The 24,360-nt window shown below is 46.0% G+C and overlaps 1 protein-coding gene and 1 long non-coding RNA gene across 2 annotated transcripts in view; both read left to right on the top strand.

Moving 5' to 3' along the window:
• UBE2QL1 (ubiquitin conjugating enzyme E2 QL1) overlaps positions 1-24,360 on the top strand; it is a 47,865-nt gene that overhangs the window by 448 nt on the left and 23,057 nt on the right. The gene's annotated exons all lie outside the window — the stretch shown is intronic.
• On the top strand, positions 31-22,590 carry LOC105374639 (uncharacterized). Its single transcript, XR_007058679.1, has 2 exons — positions 31-8,259; positions 8,371-22,590. It is a non-coding gene; the product is annotated as an uncharacterized LOC105374639 (long non-coding RNA).

Raw genomic sequence — 24,360 nt, forward strand, 5'->3', positions numbered from 1 at the left:
GGGCGCCCGGGCCCCGTGGTGAGGGCCAGCGCCGGCCCCTCCGGCCATCTCGCTCCCTGCTCTGACTACACCAGCGCCCCACGGGGATGCTCCGAGCGCCTCCACCTCTTTTCCCTGAGCGTTTTCTTCCTGCCCCTGCTTTCCGTCCCGTCTCTCCCGTCCCCGTCTGGTCTCAGTCTCTGCCCGTCTCTCTGGTATCGGTCTCTGCCGTCTCTCTGGTCTCTCTAGCTTGCTCATTCTCTCCTCATCCCTTCATAGTTCTCTTCCATCCCTCTTCCTTAGCCTCCCTCTCCCATACCCTCCTCTCCCTTTCCTCCTGGACTCTTTCTCCTCTCACCCCTTTCTCTGTCCCCCCATCTATTCCCACCCCCGTTCCTTTTTCATTTTTTCCTTCTCCACCCTCCCTGGCTCCCCTACTCTTCTTTCCCCTCCGTCTCACCTTTTCTCGCCCCTCTCTTGTCTGCTCCTCAATCTCCTGTCCCTATAATCTCTATGAAGGTGAGAACTTTTTCTGGACCTCAGGATTTAAGTGTCCAACCTAGCTGATCTCCCACCTCCCCAACCCCCCCCACACACACACACACAAGGCTCCTCCGCAGGGGACTCGGGTGGGAGATCTGCAGGTGGGTGCCGTGGGGAGGGACAGCTGCCTGCTTGTAAATCCGCCCCCTGCCTTCTTCTGGGCTGCCTCTCCTGGAAAGGTGGAAATTTTGCTCTTGGGAACTCACTCTAGAGAGGCGGCGGTGTGGTTTGGGCATTCCCTTAAGAGACAAGACCAGACCCCCCCCCCCCACGGCAATGCCTGTTTTCCCCTCAGAGCACCCCCTTCCTTCCCCGAACCCCTTAGGACCACCACCTCTGGGGTAGACGTTCCAGGTCTTGGTCTCTTTCAGACCTGCTTCTTTTTCTTCATCCCCTTACCTCACTGCCCCAAGCAGTTAAATCCTTTATCAGGGCTAAAGATTTTAACGAAATACGAAACGAAGGGCCAAACAGTTCTCCTGAGCCTTCTCACCTATTGCATCAGATGGCAGCTTTACGCAAAGAAACCCCAAAGTACTTGAGAGCAGGGTGAGTGCGTGATGGTGTTATCTGCTCGAATTATATGCTGTCGACTGCGGTTGAGTTCTCTGGTGTTTTCCTGAATCAATATTAAGCATTACTTAAGAAAATTACATTGCTGTGTGGGCATCTTTTAGATTTATGAAAAAATCATCGTTTTCTTTAAAAGACCCCAAATGACCTCGGCTTGATCTTTCTACAGGCGGCCTATCAGAAGCCATCACTTCTTCCCTGCCTGGCACTTTCACTGCAGGCTCTTTCACACTAATCAAATAATGCTTGTTCTGCCAATTTCACTAAAGCTGGAACCCCTGGGATTCCAAACAAATAGCATCCTAACTCCAGCAGAGAAGGTCAGGTAATTCCTGACCCATCCTGCCAGTCCTTCTTTTCTAAGGTTTAGGTTCCACACATTTCCCGAGTTAGAAATAGCATAGGTGTAACAACTCTAGAAAAACATCTTCAGCTGAGGGAGGCTTAGTGCTTTAATATCAGAGGTTTATTTTCCATCCTGCAGTTACATGTTGAGTCTGATGAAAGGTTCATGTGATAGAATGCAAGCATGGGGGGTAGGGGATCTCAGTTTTATTTTTCAAACAGGATTTATACAAATGAAGTGGAAGAATTCTTTGCAGAAATGCCTTGGTTATTTGCTTCTTGAATCATTGCTAATCAGAATTCTTTGGAACAGTCTGTTATTGTTTTTCATTCTTCGCAATGAAGATGACATTGGGGATCAGGGGAAGAGGAATGTGTATTCCCTTCTGGGATCACAGAGTCCTAACATTTTAGACTTGGAAGAGATCTTAGAGATGAACTGGACCACTGCCTATATTTTGAAAGATGCGAGAAAACAAAGGTTTGAAATGAGAAATGGGGATTTTTTTTTTTAAGAGAGAGAGGGACCTCAGGAAATTAAATGTTTCCTATTTCTACATTAATGCTGTGTATAATAATAATTCCTTTGGTGCCCATATGCCAAGCGGCAATATAGCAATGGGCAATATATAAAATACACGGGTCCTTGTAAGTATATTTTCTTTTCTCTGTATTTAAAATTGAGATTCTAACATACAGTTTGCAAGTGAGAGATTTCTTTATTGAAAGTAATTATCAACTTTTTCATTTCTTACTTTGATAAAATCCTAACTGAACCCATTGCCCTCCACCTAGCATGTCATGTTATGTTGTCTATTCCACATCTAAATAGAGGCAAAATCTCAGCACTTTTTAAAGTGCAAGTTCAATTTCTTTGCATTTTTTCATGCTGCTTCCAACATACAGCTGTCTAAGAGAGGGTAATGTGTGGCATACATAAAATATTCAAAATGCAATGAAAGAAAGGAAGAAATGAATAGTCATTAATGTTTTAGGATTCTGTGCACAAAAGGATTCTGATGGTGTTTCAGGTAACCTGAGGTTGATTGTCTCTTTATGTACTTTTGCAAATTCACTACCTACTGGTTGTTCAGAGCACATATGGTAGTTACCAAATTATTTCCTCAGTTAGAGGTAATATGCTTTGGGAAAGCAATCAAAATACCTGATTAGGTATTCAAGGAGAACTGGGACAGCTACCAAACCGATAATTACTTTAAAAGGGAGAGTCGTTATATTCTAGTTATGTTCTGATACTTCTCGGGATTTCTTTTTTAGGATGCATTTTCATAAGCTGCAGAGTTAGAAAAGGCTGGTTTGCTTCTTTTATAGAGGAAAACATTCACTGCTCAGCTGAACTTTGTGAATTGAGGATACGCTGTTTCTATACTTCTAGAGAAATTGTAAAACAATTTTAAGAGTTTTGTGTGTAACATAAAAATATCTGCTTAACAGTTTTGTGTACAATAAAAAGCTTAGGTTTATCACATCATATGATAAATTCAGTCATTTCGTGAGGCTTTTAAGAGACTCTCTGGCCTGTGTTACCAAAATCTCTTGCATGTTGCTGTCTGAATTCTGGTTGTCTTAAATTAAATTAATATATAAATTTCCTCTATGATATATTCTATGTAGAAATAATGATATACATATCTTCCCCCTTTGTCTATTACTAAACCCTCTTTTGACTAGAGGCATTTTTAGGTAACTCTTAGTTTTTTATAATTGGATTTTAAAACTCTGTACTTTTAGAATGAACTGGTGAAAATGTTAAAAGTATACTTTTAGATAATTATTTGCATCCTTTATTAGTTACTGAACCAAAAGAATACAACCCACAGCTCCAGTGTAAGATTTTTGCCTTTCAAAAGCTGGAAGATGTTGGTTTTGAAATGAAAGTAGCCTGTAATCCCAGCACAGTGCTTGCACCTAGTAGGTAGCTTAACCTACAAAAACTGCATTTTCGGACTCTGTAAACCTAGACAAAGTAGCATCAGCATTGGGGAATGCTGGCCATGAAGAGTGCCAGAGTTTACTGGCTTCCACTCCAGGCTTGGAGCGTGGGACGATGGCGTGACTGGCCAGGGACCTTGTTCTGTCAGTTGTGTGTGCAGCAGCAGGGTCCCCAAAAGCTGCTTGATGGTGCACTGACTCAGAGCCCTGCTTTCACTGTGGCTCACCTCCTGAGTGTCCCCTTTTTAGTTAATTAGGCATCGCCAGGGGCAGGGAACCAAATGGCAATTGAGTGACAATTCCTCACTCCTCTCCTGGCCCCTCAGAGCCAACCATACAATTCGGCATGCACACAGTGTTGGTAATAATAACTGCAGCAGCAGCAGCAGCAGGAAGCATTTCCTACTTGCTTGTGCCAAACTCTGGGCCAGCAGAGAACATAGGATGTTTGAGGATGTTTGAATCTCCCTGGTTCTGCTCTTTTGATGGTCGTTGTACAGGTGAGGAAACTGTAGTTTCACAGAGTCAGGTGGAGTTTATACAGCCACATGCTCTCATAACAGCTCATGAGTGGCAAGGCTCTGAAATTTCATCAGCATGAGTAAAAGCTGTTGGAAATGGCAGTCGGGCCAGGTGCCATCCAAGCACCTTGCTGTTTCCAGGCAGTCGTTTATTAACTGTGACCATTGTGATAATCCTTTCTATCCACAGAGAAGAGCTGCTCAGCCAGCCATCCGCAAAAGATTCACAGAACATCAGGACTAAAGCATCCTTGAGTCTTAACTGTTTGAATTTAAAATTGGAAAGCAATTTCAGGACAAGTTCTGTTTGCCTGACAGTTTCTGGATGTTTTTTAATAAAGGAAACTTGTCTAAGTGTAAGGAAACAGTAAAGGGCTCTGCAGCTCAGCTTTGTGAAATGATATGCAGTGATGTCACTAAAATCCACCTTAGGTCTGAGAGGGGGCCACACCATGGTGTCACTGGGAAGCACAAGTGCACACACATGTGCACACACACACACACACACACACAGAGACATACATAAAGCCCATCTTCCAAAATACTAGGCCTAGAAATAGCACTTTACTTATGACTGTAAAACCAGCAGTCTCATCAGAAAGAGTGACAAAGATGAACAGCCTGTTGGGCTCCTAAAATCTGTGGGCTTCTAACCGGCTATAACACAGAGATTTTTTTTGAGACAGGGTCCCCTCTATCACCCAGGCTGGAGTGCAGTGGCATGATCATTGTTCACTGTAATCTTTAATTCCTGGGCTCAAGCAATCCTCCCATCTCAGCCTCCCAAGTAGTTGGGACTACAGGTGCACACCACTTTGCCCAGCTAATTTTGTTTATTTTTTGTAGAGATAGGGGTCTCACTATGTTGCCCAGCTGGTCTCAAATTCCTGGGCTCAAGCAGTCCTCCCACCTCGGCCTCCCAGAGTATTGGGATTACAGGTGTGAGCCACCTCACCCAGCCATACAACACACAAAATGTTTAAAGGCCCTGTATTAGGTTGCTGGGGCTGCCATAACAGAGGACCTGGAAGTCCAAGATCAAGGTGTCAGCAGGGCTCATTTCTCCTGAGTCCTGCCTGCTTGGCTTGTAGATGCTGTGTCCTCCCTGTGTCCTCACATGACCTTCCTTCTGTGTGTGTCTGTGTCCTAATCTCCTCTTCGTGTAAGAACACAGTCAGATTGGATTAGGGCCCATCCTCCTGACCTGACTTTAACTTAATTACCTCTTAAAAACCCTGTCTCCAAATAAGGTCACCCTCTGAGGTGCTGTGGGTTAGGGGTTCACCATGTACCTTGGTGAAGGGAGGAGAAACAATTCAGCCCATAACACAACCAAACAGGCATTTCTTAACCAGTTGCTCATCTTGTTTCTGCAACTGCTGTGCTAGTTTGAAAAGCAGTAGATGAAGCCACACGGAGGGAGGCACTGGATGGAGAATGTTGCCCGCAGCTTTGAGCAGAGAGATGGCTGCACACCCGGAGGGAAGCTAGAACAACCTAGAGCAAAAATAGTGACTGGCAGGGGTGGGTAACGCCATCTGATTCGTCCAGGGAGACGTGGATTTTTGGTAGCGTGCTTATGAGTCACTGTGTTGTGTCCTGCACTGTGTACAGGGCACGGAGATTATTGCCACCACCGATGACTGTGCAGCTTGAGGTATCGATACACTGGACTGTTCAGAGGAAAAAATAGCTACTTGTTCTTCTATCAAGTAGGGCAGGCAGGAGGACACAGGCAGGACTGCATCCTAAAAATAGCCCCACACCCGCTTGGAGAGCTCCAGCAGCTCAGCCCGGGGTGCATGGGGCAGCTCCTGGTAGAAGCTACTTTTACTTCACCATGAGACTTTGAGAATCTGAACTTGCAGGAAGAGGGTTGTAGTGTATTTTTGTATACTTTTCTGATTTCCCTTAAGCGATGGGGGAGATTGGGTTTTCTCTGTAAGGACAGTGTAGGTTCATGGCTGTTTCTTAGTGGAATGTGCCCATGTGGACACTAAGCTGAAGTCTGAATGAAGGCCTGACACCCACAACCTGGTCAGTGTCTCCCTTCTCATCGTCAGGAAGAGACTCGTCCACACCCAGGTTTAGAAGGAAGGCAGCCTCACTAGTACCATGTCAGAGGCAGATAAGACACCAGCAGAAATGGCTTTTATAGTTCAGGAAACAAAACAGACACTTGTGGCAGGGATTTTGAGCCCCACTTTGGAGCTCCTAGAATCAGAGGTTGTTGCTGCCCTAGATGTGTTGATGTAGTCGGGAGGGGAGAGGACGGCTGGCCACAAGTGTTAGTCCTTTCTTCTCTGCCAGTGGTTCCCAACCCTGGCAGCACATTAGATGCCCTGAGGAGTGTGCAGATTATTTCAGTACCAGGGCTGTCCCCTCAAAGACTCAGACTTTGTGGTCTAGGATCAGGCCCTGACAGAGGCTGGTCCAAAGAGCTCCTCATGATTCTAATGGGCAGCCCGGGTTGGAAAAGCTGCCTGACGCTGGCCATGGTCCACCTCCTCCCTCCCCACCCATCTGGCAGACACAGCCTCACCCACCAGTAACCACAGCCCAGAGCTTCAGAAGTGGTGATAATTAATCCCCCCAACCTCCCCACCCCACCTGGCTCACACTCCCTGTCCTAGGTCAACCCTGACTCAGCGCCTTCAAAGCCCGACTTCTGTAGAGATGCCATCCTAAAGCCAGCCTTCCTCCCTGGACTGCTTATGTAGACTACGAGGGAGTGTAAACCCTGAAAAAGAAAATGTAGGGATGATTCCCTCCACCCTCGATGAGACGCAGCTGCGGAGGGTGGTGTGAGCAGACCCTCCAGAGCCGTGGCTGACAAATTAATACAGCACGGGAATCGAGTGCCTCCCGTCATGCAGGAACTTCCTAGGCATCATTGGGGGATCAGATACACATCAAGTGCCTGCCACAGGGAACGTACCCTCTAATGGGGAGAAGACAAAACCCTTCACATTTGCTTTTGACCTGCCAAGTGGCTTCACAAGTATCTTTTTGTTAATATTTAGGAAATATCCATGGATCTGACAATAGACAGTGGCCTGGGTATATAGTGGGGACATGGGCACAGTGGGGTCCTGGGATCAGCAGGGTCTTCAGAAATTCCAAGTGATGTTCTTAGAGGAAACACTCTACTTAAGGGTGATTGAGACTCGACATTAACATGGGGCATTAGTCACTCAGTGTTTTTTGGAATACGGTTTCATTGCTGATAAATGGAAAGGCCAGGCATGCCCCCACACTGACCAAGAAGTTGTAGTAATGGCAGAAATGTTTCCAGTAATGTCTACACTTTCCTACTCAGTAAGTCGGCAAGCTAAGCTAAGGTTTAATTGTTCAGTTATTTTCTCATTGTTACACACATCATTCATTCATTCACTGAGCACTGTAGTGACGTTGCCCTTGGCATTCCCATGACGACCCTTCCCCATTCTGCGTAACGTCTGCGACCCTCCCCTGGTCCTCTCCCTGGCCTGCTAATCCCACAAGGCTGGGAGGAAACCAGCTGAGTGGGAGGACCAAGGACACCGGACTGGGAGAGCAGATTTGGGACCAATCAGGTGGCAGAGGATTGTGAGATGAGGGCAGGTGTGTCTGCAGAAGCCAGAAGAAGCTGCCCGACCTTGCCCCTTACCTGGCCAGCAGGGCTGGGCATGGTCAGGGAGCCACACTCACCGAGCCTCTTCTATTCCTATTCTTCAGTGCTAGGCTCTCCTCTCCCGCTCTCTTCCTCTCCAGCCCTGTGCTCCTGCCTCGTGGGTGCCTGTCCTCTGCTTGGATTCCTGCAGTGCCCCCATCCAGTCTCTCTGTCCCTGTCCATCCTCCCTGATGCCACCTGCATGGCTCCTCTAAAATGCAGACCTAGCTTTATCACATCTGGTTATGAACCTTATGAAATAGAGCTCAAGTTTCCCAGCACTGTACAGCCATGATGGCATTCCTGCATCCGCCACAGCCCCCACTGAGGCTCCTCTTCCACCAGCCCCTTCTGCCTGGAAGCCCCTCTTGCCCATCTTCACCAGGTGAGTCCCTGGCCATCCTTAAAAACCCTGCCCAGATGCCCCAACTTCTCTGCAAACAGCTCCTCAACCACTCCTTCAATAAAAGCGATGACTTCCTCCTCTGAACTGCAGAGGAGGAAGCTCGGCATTGTTTAGAAAAAGTTCATTTCTGTGCTTATCCTGCCAGTTTACATAATTACAACTGTATTGCCCCTTCTCTTTGCTAAATGTCCAACACTTTGTTTGTGCCAAATAGATGTTTGCCACAAGATCTGTTTCCCTGAGCAGACTCCCCATCCTCTTCATTTTGCCCCTTCTTGCGATGCAACGTAAGTGCTTACTGTGGGTCAGCTGCTGTGCAGAATGCTTAATGTGAATGATTTGATTAAATCCTTGTAGCAGCCTAAGAGGTAGGTGCTGTTGTTATTCCCATTTTACAGAGGAAGAAACTGAGGCTTGCTGAGGTTGAATCATGCACAGAGCTGAGCTGCCACCAGGCAACCAGTCCAGTGCCAGAGCCACCTGGTCCTGAGGAGGTGTCTAGTTGGCAAGTACCACGTGTAGCATTATTGTTCCTCATGGCACATATGGATGTTAGGAATGCCTCTGCAGTTCCATGGTGCATGGTTTTCCTACAATACTCAGAATCAATCCACGAGAGGACGGATGGTGCATCCATCAAGTCTGACACATGGTACGGAATTATCAGCAACGTTGGACAAATATATTGGCCCAGATTCATCATAAGCTCCTTGTATTGATTGAGCAAAATCGATGAATGTGTTAATTGCTTCAAACCGTAGGAGAAAGATAATTATTACAGCTTTATTTATTTTGTATATGAAAGGGAAAGGCATTTTAGAGATTCTGAAAATAACTCAAGAAAGAAGTGCTTTTTGAACATAATTGTTACATTGGTAAAATCACTCAGATTGAAGGAATGTCTACCTTAAAATAATTTCTCTAAAATAAATACTAATTCTTCATCACAGTATTTGGCAGGCATTCTCGAGGTGTTTGACTGAGTTCTTTGATGAAGGAGCTAAGGAAATACTGTCTGGTAAAGGATCAGTTACACGTAAAGTTGAATTGTCCTCAGCTCACTTGGAAATTGAAGGGAAAATTTCCAGAAAAATATTTGAAGGGTAATTCTCATTTTTTGATCTTGAAGATCAGACATTTGCAAATATCAGAATATGGAGTTACAGAACTTATTACATTTTGGTTCTAATAAAAAGCTGTGATTAATATTTTATGAATTTGGACATTTTGTGCACAAAATTATTAAACCAATTATTTTTGCCTTACGGATCAATATGTATGTATTAGGGTGATTACTTAGTGTCAGATTGGGTGCCCATATTGCTTCCCGTAAGATGTCTGTCAGGAATTGGATATAACTATACCAAGTAAAGATCAATTGCTGCTAGGATTAATTTGTGCTGGAGTCCCTCATGATTAGTGACATATGCTACTCAACTCTGCTTCTCAGCCAAGGAAAAATAAAAATACCATAGTGGAAACTTCACCAGAATTGAGTGAGTTACAAGCTTAAATTAACTGTAACTAGTTGAGTATTAGAAGCCTTTAAAATGTAACTTTTTAAGAGTCATCAAAATACTAAATGAATCATAATGTATTTAACCTGGCTTTGTGCAAGGAGGCTGTTCTTTATCAGAGCCCTCTCCTGCAGCGCACATGTGCCTGCGTCTGACAGCACCTCTCGGGTGGGAGCCTTCCTCCTCCAGGTTGGGTGGGAGAGAAGAGCACAGCAAAGCCAGGGGCCTTGTCCACAGTAGCGGGTTAGGATCCTCCAGGGGAAGTGCCTTCATCCAATGTGAACAATGCCTAAAACTAATGCAGGAGAGCTGCAGAGACTGGTGGCTGTGACCCCACCCCTCCAGAGCCCTGCTGACTTCCTTTGATCTCTTTCATAATGTACCCTATGAAACATCATTATCTTAGAGAACTCATACAAGACTGCTACTCTAACTATAAAGATAAAAATTTCACAACACTTAAAGGACATTACCGTAAGTCACAAATAAAACTGATCTAATAAAAAGTGAGTTGGAACTGAATTGAATTAAAGTGCTTATTTTATTAGTAATTTCATTTAAGAGGGTATCCTGGCATCTGCCTTTTCATAAGAGAGATAGAGGGCTCTTGGTTATTCTTGATGATCGGTCAAAGAGAAACAGGTGACCAACCACAGGAGTCCCTTCCTGCTGCCCCAAACCCCTCGAAGCCACCTGGAGGACTGCATGGCCTCGAGGTGTCTGGGGACACCTGCAGACTCCTCCCCAGAATAACGTCTTTCGTTGCACAAAACAAAATGCATAGGATTTCAAAGGAAGCCAATTATATTTAAATACAGTTATCAGAACATGTTTTTAAAACATGATGAACTAAAATAAATTAAAAAGCACTTTATTAACACATTAAATATTAAGATCTAGAGGCAGGTCTAACACTCTCCTAATCTGACAATAATGAATATCAATGACATTTCAAAATATCTACAACAATATCACAACTGTAATGCGATTTTAAAACATTTGCCTATTGGTGACAAAGCCAAGGCATTGCTAATACTGCTGTGGTTTCTTTCAATCCTAATTATAGGAAGTGCTGAATTGCAGTTCAAAGTTAGTGAAAATGGAGACATTTTTCCCATCCAAATATATATACCCGGAGGAGTGCATGGGCCCCAGGTTAAGAACTCGAGGTAGTGTGTGGCTCTAGGTGGTGATGGCTGTCTTGCGAAAGATCCTAAACCTTATTCTGCAGCTCAGGGCCAGAGCAACTGGGATCAAGATTTAGGAGCCCAACAGGTGTCTCAGTTCTCTGGTGTTATTGGTGGGTGGGGCTGGGATAAAGCTGGAGATCTGCAGGCAGAGGCAAGGCTCCAGCGCCTTACCCCTTCTGAGTGTGGCTCACTCCTGGGCAGGCACCCACCTCCCTGAGCATCAGATGCCTCCCCTAAAGGCAAGGAGCATAAACCCAACTGCTCACATGAATCATGAGGATCAAAGGAAATGATGACACGTGTTCCTTGCATAGGTAAGGTGATCAATAGATGTTCCTGCTTCTAAAGAAGAAGGAGATTTATTGAATTAAATGCACAGAAATGTATGGCCAAGACACAGCAGCCTCCAATGCACACAGATATCTGCTTTCATAATGATGAGTGTTTCATGGCAATATTCACCTCCAGGTGCCTCGGGTGTTTCCGTCCATGACTGTGTTTTTACAGAGATTCACAGGAAACTCAGAAGAGCCTCCTTTTTGCCCTCATAAATCTACTGCTGTGGACGCTTGCTGTTGCCTTTGCTGACATGCCATCATCAAATGATTTTGCACCATCAGGGGCTGATTTATGGGATTATGTTATTGTTCCAGCACAGATTGATATCTGGGTTTTTTCACCTCTTTAACTTTGGTATCATAAGAATTCCATTACATTGGTAGCATCTTTAAATTAGCTTGATTTCTTTTGCTGGCGTTCAGTTAGAAAATTATGTAGAAGAATATTCTTATTTAAAACATTTACCTCTGTGCTCCCTAAATGCACATCAAAAGTCCTTGTTAGCCATTAAATGTTGTTGATATTCATTCTTTGTTACAGAATGCAATGCCCACTTGAAAACTTCTTGGCTACCATTTTGTTTCAAGGTGAAAAACCGGTTCATAAATCAAATTTTAAAATTTGTAAAAAGCTGTGGACCCCAGCAATTATCACAAGTCACACAGAATGAACATCAACTGTTTCAGTACAACTGAAAGAGAATTTCCCTGTAGTCAATTACATGGATCCTTTCTAATATTAATACTTTTACGAAAGATCCTTTCTTTAGTAGAATTTAAGAGAAACCTAGCTGAAATATTCGACCTGCAGGACTAGCCAAGTTTCTCAGAAACACCTGTGATATGACATATGGTCTTACTGCAATTGGAGGCTATTCAACAGTGGAATACCAATGCCTGCTTCACATTCTCTTAACTGGTCAGTCAACTGAGGCCTTGAGCATTGACCCAAAATCTAGGGTGAGGCTTTCTGCATTTGGGAAGAGACTGACCAGCTATCTCTAGGGTTCTCCCCCAATCTGAAGACTTAAGTGGGTAGACTCTGCATTCTCATGGGACAGAGTGTGGGATACAGCTAACTGATCCTCCAGGATTTCTACGCTGTTTTTATTGTATTCCCAGTGATTTTCCCATAGTTTAGAAATATTGAAATGTCCTCATCTGAGATGATTATAGGCAGAAAGCATCCTCCTATCCCCAGTGTTTTTCAGCACCCACCACCCCCCCCCGCCGGCATATCATTCTAGGAAGGAATATTATCCTTTATGTGGAAATGGAGCCTGCAATGATATCTAAATCAGTTCCTGGGCCTGGGTGGTGTTGCCATAACTACTGATCTAGGTTTGTAATATCAGCAAATAGAAACAGACCTGCCCTACAGTGCTCAGACCATTTGTTCATATTTATTTATGTCTCCTTTTTGCTCCTGTTAAACACATTATTTAGCTGTCACGTAATCTTTTAGTGAGATGATTCCGATCACCCTATCCTGAGAAAAATCTTAAAGGCCCTCCATCCCCACCTTGGCTCCAGTCACACACCGTTTAGAGGTCTCAGGTTCCCACTGGTTTCCCAGCTCCACCGAATGTCCCATTTGGATAAGCCGCAGGCTCTCAGCCCTCGGCGTCCCCAGCTTTGTTGGAAAGGTGAACACAGCAGGCTTTGCAGCAGCTGTTGGTCAGCACTTGACCTTATTGGCCATGATGAAGGCCAGTAGGCTGGACAAGCCCAAGCGAGGGTGATGGTCGTTTAACCTCTACAGGCCTTTCAGACCACCCCATGCTGTCTCTGTGGCCAGAAGATGCTCCGAGACTTCAGAACTGGGTCTTGGTCAGGACTCGACCAGAAAAGACAATCTCAACCTAGGACTCAAGACCCAGATGTGGGAGGAGGCGTATGAAAAAAGCAGCCAATGGGCTACCCTGAGAGTCAGGGACCTGGTATCAAGAAAGGAGGGGGATCTGCCGGCAGCTGCAGGGCCACCATTGAGGGTAAGGGCAAGAGCAAGGCAAGGCCCCCACCCCAGATTTGCATTCAGCTTTCCAGTGGACGGGGCATGCAAGCTTTCCCAGAAGCCCAGGCAACAGAGGGATCCTGGACTGAGGAGTGAGGCCAGTTCCTGTGTTCTCATGCTCCCGAGGGTGGCATGGCTGAAGCAGACCAGTGCTCCTCAAGGAGCTGCCAGGGCCCAGCTCCTCCTGCTCCTGCTTAGTGAGAATTGCCCGGGGGCATCTTCCCTGTGCTGCCTCATGTGGAAGCATCATCAAGGAGGAGTTGTCAAGTGCCAGGTATGAGAGGCCACTAACTGCCGGGCTTGACAGAACGACCTATTGGAGGGCTCAAGGAAGAAAAAGGCCACCCTCACTCAGCGTGCACTTAGGGCAGAATAAGCCTCACCCAAAATCCCTGTGGGACTTTCCCCATAGAATTCTATGGAAACTTCCATACATCACCATTAGATTAAGTTGCCCAGGGAGATTGAGGGAAATATAAGATTTCTGCTGCAGGAAAAGGAATCTGACATTTCCGGCTTCTGAACCAAGCGTGAAAGGCTGATTTGTAATTTGTTTGGTCTTAACAAAAATAATAGTGTGCAATTAACTAAGGCGTCAAGCACAGTTGGAGTGAACGATAAACGGAAGGCAGCATTTTCCATAAGTAAAAGCTTTCAGAGTGTGCATCTCTAAATCATCCACTTCTTCGCTACTGACTCTTTTCCTTTCTTTTGATGTTGTTATTTTCTTGACATAATTACAGCAAAGATTGGTACATTGCACCCAATCTTAATTGTATCTCCCTTCAGTCTCATTTATTTCATTGTTACCTGCTATTCCTTTAAATTAGTAAGTCATGATGTTTACAGATTGGTAGTATTCTTAAAAATATTTCAAATTGTGCTAGAAGGTTTCACCCTGAAATGGGGTGAGTACATTCTTTTATTTATTCTAGAGCTTGCAAACATATTTTAAGTGTATAATACAGTGATCCTAAAGAAAGGCTGGGGAAAGAATTTGAGTTTGGAGGATAGCAGTGAAAAGAGGGTCACATGAACAGGTGAAGAGGAGGCTGGCGTGTCCTTGGTGCAGGGCCTTGGGTAAGGAAGGTGCTAAGTAAGGAACAGGGTGGTGGCCTCACTTTTCTGCGTGGTGCAGACTGCAAACGCCCTTGATTTTTTGATCACCACCCCCTCCCCACATTCTGTGAGCAGCAGGACCGGGAGCGAGACCGTGGTCCGAAGTTCTCCCGAAACCCAGGTAGGCTTTGTATTTGTGCTGTTATTATTATTATTATTATTATTATTATTATTATTATTATTATTTTTGATGCGGAGTCTTGCTCTGTCGCCCAGGCTGGAGTGCAGTGGCGCGATCTCGGCTCACTGCAAGCTCCGCCTCCCGGGTTCACGCCGTTCTCCTGCCTCAGCCTCCCGAGTAGCTGGGACTACAGGCGCCCGCCACCATGCCTGGCTAATTTTTTGTATTTTTAGTAGAGACGGGGTTTCACCATGTTAGCCAAGATGATGTCGATCTCCTGACCTCATGATCCACCCGCCTCGGCCTCCCAGAGTGCTGGGATTACAGGCATGAGCCACCGCGCCCAGCCTGTGCTGTTATTTTGCACCAAATTTTTGTTTCAGATTATTCTAAGAGATTTTTTTTTTAATTTGAGACAGAGTTTCACTCTTTTTGCCCAGGCTGGAGTGCAATGGCGTGATCTCAGCTCACTGCATCCTCTGCCTCCCGGGTTCAAGTGATTCTCCTGTCTTCTAAGGGCTTTTTTAAAAACACAAACACAAATATTGAGAATTACGTAATTAAGTAGAATTGGGAAACAGGCCTAGCAAACAAGGTCAGTTGTAAACCAAGACCTCAGTGATGCTTTTGAGCTGTTGAGTGATGTTTTGAGCTACATTTGGCACCTGCTAACCACTCAGAGAAAATTATCTTCCCAATACATGAGTGTTTTAGGTCCTGCAGTAGGAACAATGAAACTACAAAAGATTTACAATCCCATATCAAAAAACAATTCCAAATTCAAGATGACAAGATGTCTCACAAGTCGAAAAGGAACGGGAAATAGCTCCCAGTGCATTCCCATAGAATCATAGCACATACCTTGTGGTTTTGTTTGTTCCTGTGTCTGATTAGGTTCTGAAGGTCTTTATCAGAAGTAGCTGATTTCCCTGCCTTGTAGTTGAGGGTTCTTGGCCCCTGCTAGCTGCACTTCTTAATTAGAGGAACTTGAACAGTTTCTGGAGGTTGGAAAGAAAAAACAAGGAGATGACTTACGGCGCTCAGAGCCAGTAACATGCTGGCAGCCAGCAGGCCTGAAAGGGGCAGCAGGGAGGGCCGTGTCTGCCTTCTCTGGGCTTCAATGGTGGGTGACACCGGGTGCCTCAGGTCACCCTCAGTAGAATTTTAAATGCCTTAATGACGTTTCAAAAATAGAGATTCATTTGGACTTAGAGTGCAGCTAATTTCTGCTCCGGGTATTTTAACCTCTTGCAGTCAACAGCATTCGTAGCTCTGCAGGGCCATCTGTGCTGGTCCCTTGATAAGAAGCTACAATTCAATGGATTACCAATAGCACCCTCATGTATGACTACAGAGGCACTGTCGCCAGGCTCAGGCACTTTTTAACTATAACTAGCATTTTAGTTTTTATTCTTTTTTTTTTTTTTTGAGACTGAGTCTCACTCTGCCAACCAGACTGGAGTGCAGTGCACAATCTCGGCTCATTGCAACCTCTGCCTCCTGGCTTTAAGCAATTTTCAAGCCTCAGCCTCCCGAGTATCTGGGACCACAGGTGTGCGCCACCATGCATGGCTAATTTTTGTATTTTTAGTAGAGATGGGGTTTCACCACATTGGCCAGGCTGGTCTCAAACTTTTGACCTCAGGTGATCTACCATCCTTAGCCTCCCAAAGTGCTGGGATAACAAGCATGAGCCACCACGCACAGTCAGCATTTTAGTTTTCTTAGACCTTTAAAAGCAACAACAAATATTTAGAATTACATAATTAAGCAGAGTTAGGAAACAGAGCTGGAAAACATTTAGTTTTCTTAAACTTTGTCTTAATGGATTGCAGAGCCAAGTGAAGTGGCAGACAGTAATGAGGCTGAGTCTAAATAGAAGTGAATATTTTAATTTCATAACAGAAAACTGGGAGATGAGCAAAAAGTAATTTTCTCCAAGACCCAATCTCAGGATCCAGTGGTTCTCAACCTCGGTTTCCACTCCCCAGTGCCTGGGGGTGGAGGGCGCTTTGCACCTCGTTTCAACAGGGACTCTTGGGGGGGCTCTGGGATGCTTCGGGTGCCCCTCTCCGCCCCCAGCAATTCAGACACAGCTGCTCTGTGTCCTGGAAAGGAAAGAGCCCTCCGGGATGACCCCTCGCTCACTTCCTGCGTGGGAATCGCTGCTGGAAATGGACCCTGATGGTCTAGGCTTCCGGAGGCCAGCTCCAGGGCGCAGCAGAAGAGCTGCTGCCTCACCTTAAACCTGCCTCCGTGAGGACGGAACCTGGACTCCTCGCCATTTCTGCATTTCCACGTTTGCTTTTTACCCCGCGCAAAGCGTTTCCACTTTCTCCTCTCAGTGTATTTGCTCCCTTCCTTCCCCCGACACCAGCCTGTCTCCCTCTGCTGCCCAGGGGCCCCAGGCGACCTCCCTCCCCTCACACTCCCCTTGCACCCTCTATCCTCCCTTCCTGCCCCTCCCTCTTCCTTCCCTCTGCCCCTGCCACCCTCCCAGGGCCCTGAGCAGTGCGGGGAGGCATGGAGAGGCTGAGGCCTCCCCACTGACTCGGCAGCCACGGCGATGCAGCGCCCAGCGTCTTCACGGTGGAACTAGCCACTTCTTCCCCTCCCTGTTTCCTCTTCCAAAAACTGGAACCAGGGTCACCTCCAGTCCTTGTCAGCACCAGGCAGCCATCATGGGGAGCGAACTGCTCAGCACTCAGGAAGTGTGAGCTGCTCACGAGCCCCTCACACCCCAAGGCCAGGTGTCCTGTTGGAGTCCCCCCAACCCATCTGCCTCCTCCCACAGCCTCTCCCCTTCCCCACCTGAGAGCAGGCCACCTGCAGCTGGCTGTGGCCCGTGGGCCTCCTGGGGGGCTGTGTCCTGTCTCCCAATCTGGGGCTGGACGCTCCCCCAGGTGGGGCTGGGCAGTGTGGCCCCTGGCGGGCAGCAACATGGGGCCTGCCGGACCAGCCCAGCCCTGCGCCTAGTAAGCGCTCAGCACCTATCGGAGAATGAGGTTGAGTTGATGTCCTTCAGGCACTGCTAGATCATGAACCATCAGAGAAAGACGAAGGGTGTGGAGTGCACCTTAACTGCAGTGTCAGGAAAGTGGACATTTTTAGCCACAAAGCCAGGGCCGTCAAAAGGCTTTCTGGTGATGCTGACTGCCAAAGGCATGTCACTCCGGCCCTACATACATCATGTGAATTATCTTTCTCTAAACACTGAATTTATTGGTCAGAGTGTTTTAGTACGTGAGAATAAGCTTTATGGGGTTTTGTTTGTAATCACGTGCCCTTGAAATGTCATCATACCATTCGCCAGAAAACACACCAGCAGGACGTTTGAGAGAGGTTTGTATTTTGAGTCAAGAGGCACTAAATGGAGGAGGCTGCTCACTGTTCTGGGCCTGGGACTGTCACCCGGCACATGAGGCTTTGCTGTTTATTTTGTTAAGTAACTTAATGTTAGGGGTGTCATTTAAATAACTTCTCTGTAAACATCTTTTCTTTTATTTCATTGTAGTCCTTCCCTGATTGAAGATTTCTATGCTACTGTGTAAATTCATTCTCTTCCCACAATCTCTCTGTCTCTCTCTGCCTCCCTCCCTCCCTGCTCTCTCTCCCTCCCTCTCCTCCCCTTTCCTCCTTCCATTCAGCTGTGACTTTTATTCTTGGAGCCTGCATTATCCTACATTATTTGAGAGCTGCTAAAACAAAGTCCCCACAGGCTGGGGGCTTCAACGACAGAAATGCATTCTCTCGCAGACTTCCTGGAGAGGGGAAGTCTGAGATCCAGGTGTGGGCAGGGCTGGATCCCGAGGCTGCTGCTTGGCTTGTAGACATCATCTTCTCCCTGGGTCCTCACAGGATCTGTCTCCTCTACGTGTGTCTGAATTTCCTCTTCCTAGAGGGACACCAGTCCTATTGGATTAGGCCCCAACCTGATTACCTCATTTTAAGGTAATTATCTCTATAAAGATTTCTATTTCCAAATACAGTCTCGTTCTGAGGTGCTGAGGGCTGGGACTTCAGCATAGGAATTTGAGAGGACACAGCTCAGCCCACAGGAGAGCCTTGCTTTCCAAGCACGTATGAGTTTGTTCATTTGTCTTCTTTCCTGCAGCTTTTGCCTCTCAGATGTCCTCCTGTTTGTCTTTGCCGGGGGTCTCTGCCCTGCGGGCCCCACCGCCCCAGCCTCTCCACCCGCGCCCCCCAGACTGTGTTCCTTCCCATCCCCCTTTGTTCCTGCAGCATCGACACATTCCTCCTCACAAACTTTAGGTTTTGCAGGTTTATCTGTTTTTCTTAGCTGTCCCAGAATTTTTTCTTTCTTCCTTTTTCAGATCACTGTATCGCCTTTATCTCTTACGCCTGACTTTTCCCTCCGCCTTCAGGATTCTTCCTGCCTTGTCTGCTGGGCCTCTCTCCTTGCTCTCATCCAGATCAATGAACAGGGACTCGATCCATCTTCTTTGGCACTTTTCCCATTTCCCTGTGATCCCTGGATGACACTATTTTTTGTCTCACTTTACCTTTCACCGTCTCTATAAACCTCCCCCGTCCCTGTTCTCATGCTGCTCCTCTGCATGTGTCCAAGGTTAACAGTGTTCCTTTCTCTCCTTCCTTTCCAGCCACTGCTGTCTTGAAAATGCCTTGTCCTGGTTGAGCGAGCCCCCTGCCCTGTTCCCTCGCTCTGGTTTGGAGCATCGCCTCACCACTGCTAACTGCTCAGGGAAGCCGGTCATCCTCCCTGGAGCTGGAGCAGGGGCGCGGGGTGGGTGAAGGGATGCTCCTGCTGTGTGCACTGGCCTGAGGACAGAGAAAGAGGGCAACCGGCAAAGTGAGAGTGTGGAGGGGTGGAGTCAGGCAGGCAGTGCAGACACTCAGGCGGGACAACAGACACGGGCTGACTGGTGGATCCTTATTTCAAACAGCCGCCTGGAGCATCAGTGAAACTTGAAGGTGGCTCTCCAGTGAGGAGCTGAGGCTGAAATGATCATGGGGAATCTTTTCATTCCATTGGATTTGATGCTGATGTACCAAGTTGATGCTTTTTCTTAATCACCATTTTCATCATTTTAAATGTTTTACCAAATTTAGATGGAAGATGCTTTCTGAAAGCCTTCAATTCTACTTCTTAGGAGAATTTTACTCAGTTAACTTATAGTTACTTCCGGAAATGATTATTAGTTGTTAATTTTATTGATCAAATTGTTTGAAACAAGCACCTACCAGAGTGCTTGTTTGGGGGATACACCAGACCAGTCACAAGGCGCATCAGAGAACAGTTATGTTCCATCATGTGCACTTTACGTGCATTCTTGTTTTACTCAGAAGTAGACAAATTCATTAAAATATCCTCAATTATCACCACCGGTCTGCCACAAGACTTGAGAAGAGGGTAGAATGGCCTTCTTCATGATTCCTGCAGAGGCTGACAGACTTGTGCGTGCAACCAGCCCGCCGCCTCTGCATCTCTTCACGTTCTTCTTGTTTGGTCAGCCTCCTGTCTCTTGCCTCCTTGGAATCTTGAACTCTGCAAGAGCAGGGCCGACTTGGTTTCCTCCACCAGCATTGATGGAGGGCAGCAAATCTGCCTGAGCTTTGGCTGCGTCTTCTCCAGATCAATTGTTATCTTCATGTGTCCAGATGCACAGCTGGGCAGGTAACACAAAGCATCATTTCCATGCTCAGGCACCCAGGCCAATCCATTCCAGATGCTTCATGAGTTGAGGGATTTTCCATAAACTTCAGAGATGTCAGAGTCCACCAAAATATTATAAGGCTGGGTTCTTTATATATATGTATATGAACATAATCTATATTTTATATATTTATATCTAAATATTCTAATCTATACATATTTATATAATCTAAGGCTTATATATATAAGCTATGGTGTTGAGCTACAGTGTTCATATTATATATATATTTTTTATATATATGTAATTATGTATATCTATATCCTTAGATTATACATATATATAATCTAAGTGTGTGTGTGTGTGTGTATATATATACACACACACACTAAGGCTCTTTGTAAAATGAAAATGTATGTTTAAAGTAGTTATATAAATTTTTTTATTCAAACAGTATACACTTATATGTTTACATTTCAATTTCAGGATGACACCCCTGACTTTCACAATGTCATAATTTAAATGATCTATAGGGACTTTTTTCTTCCTCTAAGTGCTCTTAACCCAAAAAAGCCAATTAAATGGAGAACAATATAAATAGATTTTCTCTGTTGCTGCCAACTTTGATCTGCCCTCATGACGATAACAATTTATTAGAGAAGGAGATGGCTCTAATTTGGTTCAGTTTAACAAATGTTACTCCGTTGGAATCAGACACCCCTCTGTGATGAGAGTGAACACAGAGGACATTCGGTGATGGTGCCGGGCGGGACCCTGCAATGGTCTGTGGCGATTATAAGACAACAGCGATGCCGGGGCCGCAGTGTTCAGAGCCCAGTGGCGGCTCTGTTGTGTGGACCAACACTGAACGCAGAGCTCCTCTAAAGGCTCATGGTTATTTAGAGAGCAGAACATGGTGTGATGACTTTGACCTCTAAATGAAGGATGGACCCCTGGAAGCCTGGTGCTCCCCAGAGGGCTTGTGCCTTTGTGCACCTCCAGGTGATCCATGTGTGTCCAGGCCTGCAACTAGCCAATTATATAATGCTATGATTGCTCTTACTATTACTATTATCATTTTACAGTGCTTTGGTATTTCATGAAGAGGCCAGGAAAAGCGTGGATTACGTGACTGTGTGCAGAATTATAATGGTATATGTTATGTTGTCTAACCTGTAAAACTCTTAAGAATTTTTTTCTGATTATAGAAAATAGTACATGCTAAGGTAGAGAATGAAAAGTTTCATGATTCCACCTGTTAGAGATACTGGCTGTTTTTCTGCACCCGTGAACACACACACATGCACACACACGTGTGCACACACACACTTCCACAGGCATACATGATTTTTTCAGCAGTGGGCCCATGCTGTTCAGGATAGTCTGAGGTGTGCACATCTTTTCTCATAAGGTCCCTGGACATATTCCTGGTCAACTAAGTCTTCAAAAGGCTGCTGAGCCCCCAAGGGTGCAGGCTGATGTGGACGTCTGAGCCAGCCCTGTCGGGTGACAGTTAGGAGGCCTCCAGTTCTTCCCTCCCTAAACAACCCACGGGGACTGTCCTGTGTATCATGTTTGCTCCTTGTACCCTAATTACCATAGGGAAACTCCCAGAAGTGGGGTACTGGATCAAAGGGTGGGAACACCCTCCATATTGATTGGATACAGTGCTGCCAAATTGCCCTTCAGAAAGGTTACCCCAGGTTACAGTCCCATCAGCAGCAGGAGGCTGGAAACCTCCCAGGCCTCTCCAACCCTGATGATTTCACTACTTCCCGATCTCACTGGCATAGCATATCTCATCTTTTTTGGCTTACATATTTTCTATTTTATTCAGGTGTAGCATCTTTCATACAGTTGGGTTTTTGTATTTTGGTAGGGATGGATTTAGGGAATGGGTTTTGGCCACTTGACTTTCTCATTTTGCCCTTGGTCCATTTTTCGTTTGATTGTTATTTATCTTATTATCTTTAGGAATTTTTTGTCAAGTGGATTCCCAGCCCTCAGCATTGGTTATCTCCTGCAGCATAGCCCATTATCCTAAAACTCAGTGTCTTGAAGACACCAACATGTCTTCTCTCCTAGTTTCTGTAGTTGAGGAATCTGAGTGCTGCATGCCTGGGTGCCTCTGGCTCTGGGTCTGTCATAGAGCTGCAGGGGAACTGCAGGCCAGGGCTGCTGTCTCATCTGGAGGTCTGACTGGGGAGGATTGGTTCCCATGAGCACTCATGTGCTGGCAGCAGGATGCAGTCCCTGGGTGGTGTTGGCTGAAGGCCTCAGTTCCTTGCCTATGGGCCTCTCCATGGGGCAGCTCACAGCATGGCAGCTGGCCTCCCTCATAGGGAGCTAGGGAGAGAGAGAGAGGTTACCCAGGATCAAAGCTGCAGTCTTTTGTGGCTTACTCTCAGAAGTGACTTTCCATCACTCCGCCATCCTCTGTGCAATAGAAGCAAGCTCAGGTCCCTCGCACTCAGGGGTAGGAGGTCAAACAGGGAGTGAACGCCAGGAATCGGAAATCCTTTTGGGACAGCTTAAGGGCTGCCTGATACAGGAGCATAATATTAGCTGATTCCGTAGGTAGGATCTTGTTTTCATTGTATGTTCAAATCAGTTATGGATGTATATATAAACTATCACATTTTTACACATGCATAATAAATTCTGGCATACACGTTCATGTAAACCACATTTGTATTGTGACTTTCACTTTTTGTCTCAGGTGTAGGGAGAGGTTAATGATATCCCACCAGTCCATCCATGCAAGGCCCATGGGAGCCCATTCTGTTTCTAGCAGATATTATTAGATACACTTCATCCTGTCAGGTGTGTCATGTCATTCCGTGCATATGTGTGTTTCATCAGCCCAACCAGTGCTGTCCTCTGTGCCTTGCTCTGAATCTTAGTTATTTCACCCAGAACTTGGGCTGGTGGGCCGGCTGTGTCACTGTGTGTGTGTCTGGCCCATTGCTTTTCACACCTGCATATTTTTCCAAGATGTGAATTGATCACATTTTGCTCATCCACTCCCCTGGGGATGCCAGCAATCTCCCACCTCCCTGTGGTCACAGGAATATGGCTACTCACCTGCAAGTGGATCTTCTGGGCTTGATACCCAGCTGTGAGCTCACAAGAGCACGAGCCTCGGTATGTGGATTGTCTCGAGGTATTGCCAGAAACTTCCAGAATGCCTTTGACATTCTGGAAGCGGCCGATCGACACACTTCCCCGCAAACACCTGGCATCGTCCTCCCCTCTGTTTTGCCCCTTGACAGGACCCTAGAGGCATCTAACTGCTGCTTTCCTTGTGCTTTCCTGATGACTGGGATCTGGACATCACGCTGCATACTTGTCAGCCATTCAGGTCTCTTCTTTAGACATCTGCTGATCTTCTTTCCCTTCCCTGCATTGTGTCCGGGTTGTCTAGCTTTTTCTTCTCAATTTTCAGAAAATTTTTCTTTTTCCAGGTATTAATTTTTTGTGCAAGTGTTAGACATCACAAATATTTTCTCCCCAAATTTTCTTTATCTTCTTCTCTTTCTCATCTTTTATTGAGGAAAAAAAGCCCTCCCTAATTTTGAACAAGTTACATTATGATCGAGGCTGTTTGGGAAGACCATTTCCTCACCGTCCCATCACGAGGCATCCTCCTGAGCCTCCTCCCACTGGCTTTAGAGCTTTTCCTTTCACATTTTGGATTTCATCCATCTTGAGCCCTTCTCCATGTGAGCTGCCAGGTAGACACCCAGCTTCCTTTCTCTGCAGTAAACACTTTTCTTGGCCCCATTGTCTGAACCACCTGGTCTTTTCCCACGGCTTTCTGCTGCCATTGTTATCCCATGACAGTCCCATGTAAATACAATTCTCTCTTCTGCTCAGTTCCCCAATTTTCCTGCTCCTGTACAAATATTACACTGCCTTTAGGAATGCGGCCTCCTAGTCCAACAGCCAACAGACTACAACCCCCTCTGCTCTTCCTTTTCAAAATCATCTTAGCTTTTTGTGGACCTTGTAATTTTTCAATTATTTGTCAAGAAATTTACTCTGATCAGTGAACTCTCATTTCCACACAAGAGCGTACCCTGAAATCTCAGCAGTTTAATACAGGAAACATATATTCTGGCACAGAGTCTAATACAGGCCAGTGTCTGCTCTCTATCTGGAGCACACAGCCTCCAAATTCACAGCAGCAGTGGGTGACAGCAGGGTGAGGGGAGCATGTCAGCATCAGCGCCCGACTGTCTCCACCCGGAACACACACGCCTCCTTCTGCTCACCACCCACTGGCCAGAACTGGCCACATGGCCCCATCTGACTGCAAGGGAGGCAGAAATGTAAGGACCCACATGGCTATTTGTGGAGCATTAACGCTCTCTAACAAATTCAGTTCCTCAAAAATAGCTGAGCCTTTAGGATTTTCTATGTAGGCAATTCTAGCATCTACAAATAATGAGGTCAA

Source organism: Homo sapiens, chromosome 5 (genome assembly GCF_000001405.40).
Source record: "Homo sapiens chromosome 5, GRCh38.p14 Primary Assembly".
NCBI classification, from domain to species: Eukaryota; Metazoa; Chordata; class Mammalia; order Primates; family Hominidae; genus Homo; species Homo sapiens.